We start from the raw sequence: 6,000 nt of genomic DNA on the forward strand, positions 1-6,000 counted from the left end.
CAGAGCATGTTTATACATCTCCATAGGGCTTAGGGGAAGGACAACTGTCTAAAGGTTTTAGTGTATTTTAAATCTATTTAGAGGTAAATCAAAAGATTTTGAAATGTTTTGAATGGCAATGCTTAATTCTGGGAGTTTGGGTATAATGTTGCTCACGTACAAAATGAGGTCCCTTAAAGGCAGAAACATTTCTGAAGAAGAGGTAGATCTCCTCTGTCTACAGAATAACCCATCTAGGCTACTTAAACCATAAGCGTTGTAGGCTCTGAAGAGGAAAACAAATCCTAGCTCATACAAAACTGTATTTCCAGACTTTGTCTGCCATTTAATTAATGTAAGCCAAGCTCTCAACACTCAAATGTCCCAAACACCTTCACTGTGTTATTGATATGCTTATCAGTGAACAAGCACCTTCTTTTTTGGTGCATGACAAGTTTTACAAAGCAATTAAAATGTTGGCATTTTAATTATTTTGAATTTTTCTAATTTGGTCTAATTTTTGACCAAATTTAGGTACAGCTGGAGAGTCTATATACAGAAAACATGCTTATCTGCAAATGGACCTGTTTCTAAAGTGAACTGTAATAAGTATGGCCTGATAGCCATCACATTCACAGCTGGAAAAACCTAGGATGAACTCAGAGCTTATGCCTAATCTCTTGATAATTAACTACAACATGGGAAAAAAATGTTTTGAATCTGGAAGGGAAAATGTAGAGGTGTTATGACAACTTGCCTTCCATTTTACAATAAATATTATTGTATCTCTACTATATCTGAATCTCTGCCCAAAAAAGATGTCATATATTTATAACCAAAATATTCACTCTTCTCAAATAAACAAAAAATCTTTCCATAGATAGATCTCTAAGTCAGAGAGAGAGAAAGAGGGCACACCTCCACATCTATCTTCTCCCAGAGGGACCCAGCAGCAAATCAAAGGTGATCCTTGATATGGTCTGCAGGGAAGGGAGTCCTCCATGACAGAAAATGCGATAAGAGAAAAGTTCCAAGACAAAGATGCTGCCCCAATACAACCAAAGCTGAGTGAGGCAGGCATACTGGAGGCACTGCCCAGAATCTTCCACTTTGGTCAGTGACTGAGAAAAGTATACCTCTGCAAGCCTGCCAGTGCTCAGTTCAACCAGCTTCCAGATTTTTTTTTTTTTTTTTTTTTTTGAGATGGAGTCTCGCTCTGTCGCCCAGGCTGGAGTGCAGTGGCGCGATCTCAGCTCACTGCAAGCTCTGCCTCCCAGGTTCACGCCATTCTCCTGCCTCAGCCTCCCCAGTAACTGGGACTACAGGAGCCCACCACCATGCCCGGCTAATTTTTTGCAGTTTACTATTAGTAGAGATGGGGTTTCACCGTGTTAGCCAGGATGGTCTCGATCTCCTGACCTTGTGATTCGCCCACCTTGGCCTTCCAAAGTGCTGGGATTACAGGCGTGAGCCACCGCGCCCGGCCTCAACCAGCTTCCACTCTTATTTAAATGTTTGAGAGCATGGAATTTACCCATGACAATGTCTGCCTCTCCCCACCTTTGTCACCACCATGGATACACATTTCCTCCAAAGATGGCAGGAAACCCCAAACACAGTTGATATTATAGGTCCTGGACAGACCATATGCTATTTATTAGCTAAAACATTTACTTGTTCCCTTCATACTTTTCTTAAAAATTCAACCAATTATATAAAAATATATGCCAAAAGTCTTGCTGATGAGTATACTGGGCCCAGTCATTCCATAGGATCAAGTAAAAATGAGTGGTTAAGTGAGTACAATAGTTAACTCACTGCATATTATGGCTGTTTTCTACATTATTGAGTGTTTCTTAATTTGCAATAACCACAATCATTACTGGCCTTACACTGTAAAATCATGTAATATACACTGCTTGCTTTGAGTTGACTCCTCCTCCTCCTTCATTTATCTGCCTAAATTTTATTGGGCTTCTCAAATAGCTCAGGCCACCACCTCTTCAGTAACCCTTCCTTAACCTAAAGTACCCCTACTTCAATTTCTCACAACAGTCCTTTCTTTTACTGAATTAGTTGTCCCTCCTCTGGGTTTCGAAATCATCCTCTGCATATTACCTTCAAAGAAGGAATCACACTGTTCTCTGTTTGTTTATAAGACACATCTCCCCTACTAGTTTTTGAACTCCTTAAAGGCAAGGATCATCTTTATGACCCAGCTCAAAGCCCAATGTCTGGTATTAGTAGACATGCTAAAATGTTTGTGAAGTGATGAATACATGTATGAATATATTCAGACTTAGAAACAGCATCACAGAGATGGGTCTTCAGAAAACATTTAATATATCCCGCTTCACCCAAAACTCCCTAAATAAGTATTTCCAAAGAGTTGTGTTATTATTAAAACAAGAAAATAATTTTCCATGTTCAATATAAAATAAACATTTTTCTAATGAAAATAGGATTAAATAAGAATCTTACCGGCAAAGTTCCAGGTAGAGATGCATCAAAAAAAGAAACCAAAGAATTTGGAGGTGCTGAAAAGCGAACTTGAGATCCAGAGAAGAGTTTAGAGTTGGAGGAAATCTGGGCATGAATTTCCAAACCTACCACAGCAGCCCATTTGTGTTCACTAAGAAGAAAGAGATAATGGTTAAGATGTATTATATTTGTCACCATGAATGAATTTCTATAAGTCTAAACCACAAATGTTAATTTCCTATATGTGTTTTAAACTTAATACAATGTTATATCCTCACATTAAAAATGTGTCATATTTTATCAGTGACTAAATAAAAAACAATTTAGAATAAGCGCCTACACTGAGATTGGCAAACTAAAATTCATTTACAACATGGCATCAGGAGGCTGATGATATAAACATGAAGGCTATAGAGAAAGGAACAATTTGGCGTCTTAAAACAATTTAGAAATGGGTATCAGGTGACAACTGCTTGGCTGACTTCAGTGAAAAGCGGCATTTAACAAATTAACTGTAACTTATCAAGTAATCACTCAGTAAATGATGAAAGCTGATCTTTCCCACATTATCTAGAATTAACATAAATGGCAACATTCTACTACTAGAGAAATAATGATAAATAGTTCCACGTCTCTTATTTAAAAAGGAAATTCTCAACCATGTTTTGGTTTGCATGTATAATAACCAGAGAGACACAGATACAATAAATCACCACTAAATGATACTCTTAAAAAAATTTTGCAAAACTCCACCACACTAAACCATCTGATGCGGCATATTTTTGGTCCCCCAAATCACTTTCAATTCCTGAGACCTAATTTCAGGTTACTTTTTTAATGCTTATTTGCTATCAAATCTAAGAAGCTGTTAAATGCTATAATAATCTCTCTTATCTGGTCAGTCCTACTCTGTTGGGTCTGTACATAGGCCTCTCCAGGTCCTTATAAATGTGCTTATTCCCTATGAAATCCATGTATGTTCCTATCCTGCTCTTCTCCCAAGTAATTTTGTGTATATACATATATATATATATACATATTTTACATCGTTTTGTTTTGTTTCAATCATTTCAACATATAAAGTTCTATATCTGAAGTACTGCAAGAATAAGTCCTTCTTTTTAAAGTTTGGAAACACAGCCCATAAGGGAGGGGAATTAAAGTAGGAACTCATTAGAAATTCTGCATGCAGTAAAGCACCATTCAAAGTATTTTTGCATTTCCATTACATGAGAGAAAAAATGTACTTTCCATTCACAAGGAAACAATCTAATTCACGAAAAGAATACAAAACTGAATACTTCTTTCTGGACAATTTCCCTCTGTTCCTCCAACTGAAAGTAAAAATAATGCCAACTAGTCTCAAAGAATAAACAAAATATTAGAAACTTGCCATATGTTTCTGTATTTAAAGAGAAACTATTTAATTCTTACATAATGAAGCATAAACAGCTGTTCAGGGGATATCTGGCCAAATAAGCAAAACTCTCCATATAACCAGGGGGAGTATCTCTTCTTTTGGCTGCGTCCTCCTAGGTCTAGTCACACATATTCCAACATAAAACGCCTGCACAGATAGCTAGTGTTTTCTGACTAATGACAATAACCCACCACTACCAAGAGCTTGTAGGTAAAGGCTCCCTTTCTACCTTTAGAACGCTGCCAGCCCATACTAGCGCTAAATAAAATCAGCTAAATATGATCCCGCTTCTCGTGTCACCGTCCCCACTGCTAGTGCTATTAGTAAGATGACCGAATCCACTCTTCTGTCTGTGCACCCTTCAAGAAAATATTTGCTATTTTACACTCGCGAATTCCCCAACTACATCTATTTGAAAACAGTGGTTTATATATGGGGGCGGAGTTGATAGAAAGTCTGTTTGTGCTTTTATTTAGGTTTCGGGGCTCCAGGTTATAACTCAACGCCCTCCCGTCAGCCAAAACGTCTAGAAGCTGGGCCGTAATTGCCATTATTTCCCCAGTCCTGCAGTTCCACCTCACAGTTAGGTGGGCAGAAATGTATGAAACAGAATACCCTTTCCTCGTCTTCTGGGCCGTGTGGAGGGGCTGCTGAGCCACTGAGCTCTCTCCCCTAATCTGGTTGGATGTGGACCCAGTCGGAGCCCCTCTTCGGTGGCAAGAACCACCGTCAACCCGGGCGAAAGCCCAACGTCTTCCACGGCAGCCCCAGCGCAGCATGGGCGCCGCCATTGTAACTCCAGGGTCTTGGTCAGGTGACTCAGCCTCACTATGCCGCGAGGCTCCCTGGGAAGCGTAGTTCTGGAAATGCATTAAAAACGCCATAGGCTCGGACCGGAAGACTACTATTCCCGGCGAGCATTGTGATTCGAAGCCTGCCGGAACCCCGCGGAGAGGGGAGGGAAGGAGAAATAGAGGAGAGGGTGGGAGGGTTTCTGGGTGGGGAGGTGTGACTCCTCCTAGCGGGGAGTTGGAGAGGTTTGTGGCTGTGAGCGTGTGTATAAGTTAGAGTGTGAGCGCTTGATGCTTGGTGCTAAAGCGTGGCCGGGATTTTATAACCCAGTTAACCTTGCAAGGGGAAGTAAATGACCTTGACAGCTCAGCAGAGACTTCCTCAGCCCCCAAACCCAATCCGTTATATTCTCTGTCTACTCTCCTGCTTCACTCAGCAATTTGTGCGTTAATGCAACAAATACTTATTTGCATGCCTACCGTAATGCCAGGCTCAGTTCTCTTAGGCACTGTAGTTACTGCAGAGATCAAGACAGTTATGGCCCGCATGTTCATGGAGCTTACATTCTAAAGAAGGGAGACATACAGAAGTTAACAAAAATAAGATACTTCCATATAGGTAGTAAGTGCTATGTTTAAGCAGAGGTAATTGGAGACAAACAGCCCTAGATTGAATGTTCATGTACATTTTAACCTCCTTTTTATTATTGGCCAGTATCAGAAACACACTCCTTATATGCTAGGAGCAGATACCATCGTCCCAGCGGACTTCCTTCATTTTCCTGTGTCAAAACTAATACCCCTTGTTAAAACTGCCACCGATTTCTTGTGTTTGAACACAGTCTAGAATAGTCATTTAGCCACTCTCTATTTCATCACCCGACTTTGATTGTCCTCGTAGTGCTTTTGACTGCCTGATGTTTATCTTCTATTTCCACAAATTCCTCGTCTGTCTTATTCACTACAGTACAAAGTAGGTTCCTTAAAAATATTTGTTGAATAAAGTAGTGCAGTGTGGAGAATGCATTTGACAAAGGATGGAGTGGATGCCCTTTGGAGCAGTAATTGTTTAGGGGAGAGATGATGAGTTAGGGTGGTGGCAGAGCCAAAGAGAAATGGATCTGTTTGAGATAGATATAGGAAGTAAAATTGAAGGACTCTGATGGATTGGATATGATGGTGGAAGGCTAGGAGAAACAAATAACTCCTGGATTTCTGGTTTGCACAACTGGCTGATGAAGTTATCCACCGAGATAAGGAAACCAGAAAAGGAACAGGTTTGCAAAGAAAACATATGAGTTTGGTTGCCTTGGAGACATTCAAGAGGAG

General features: G+C 40.1%; 1 protein-coding gene across 2 annotated transcripts in view, besides 1 other annotated feature; it reads right to left on the minus strand.

Moving 5' to 3' along the window:
- Window positions 1-4,696, minus strand: part of GATB (glutamyl-tRNA amidotransferase subunit B) — a 90,504-nt gene extending 85,808 nt beyond the window's left edge. For both annotated transcript variants that reach the window (NM_001363341.2, NM_004564.3), the window contains exons 1-2: window positions 4,496-4,696; window positions 2,461-2,611 (exon numbers count right to left, since the gene is read on the minus strand). In NM_001363341.2, coding sequence (NP_001350270.1) covers window positions 2,461-2,611; window positions 4,496-4,671 — 327 coding nt within the window. In that variant the 5' untranslated portion in view covers window positions 4,672-4,696. The remainder of the gene's footprint in view (window positions 1-2,460; window positions 2,612-4,495) is intronic.
- Window positions 4,412-4,691: an enhancer, noted in NCBI's record as "active region_22022". NCBI's record gives its function as "activates an Ori minimal core promoter by ATAC-STARR-seq in GM12878 lymphoblastoid cells {active_cell/tissue: GM12878}" and the evidence as "EXISTENCE:reporter gene assay evidence [ECO:0000049][PMID:35858748]".

The sequence above is a fragment of the Homo sapiens genome, chromosome 4 (assembly GCF_000001405.40).
Source record: "Homo sapiens chromosome 4, GRCh38.p14 Primary Assembly".
Taxonomy (NCBI): Eukaryota; Metazoa; Chordata; class Mammalia; order Primates; family Hominidae; genus Homo; species Homo sapiens.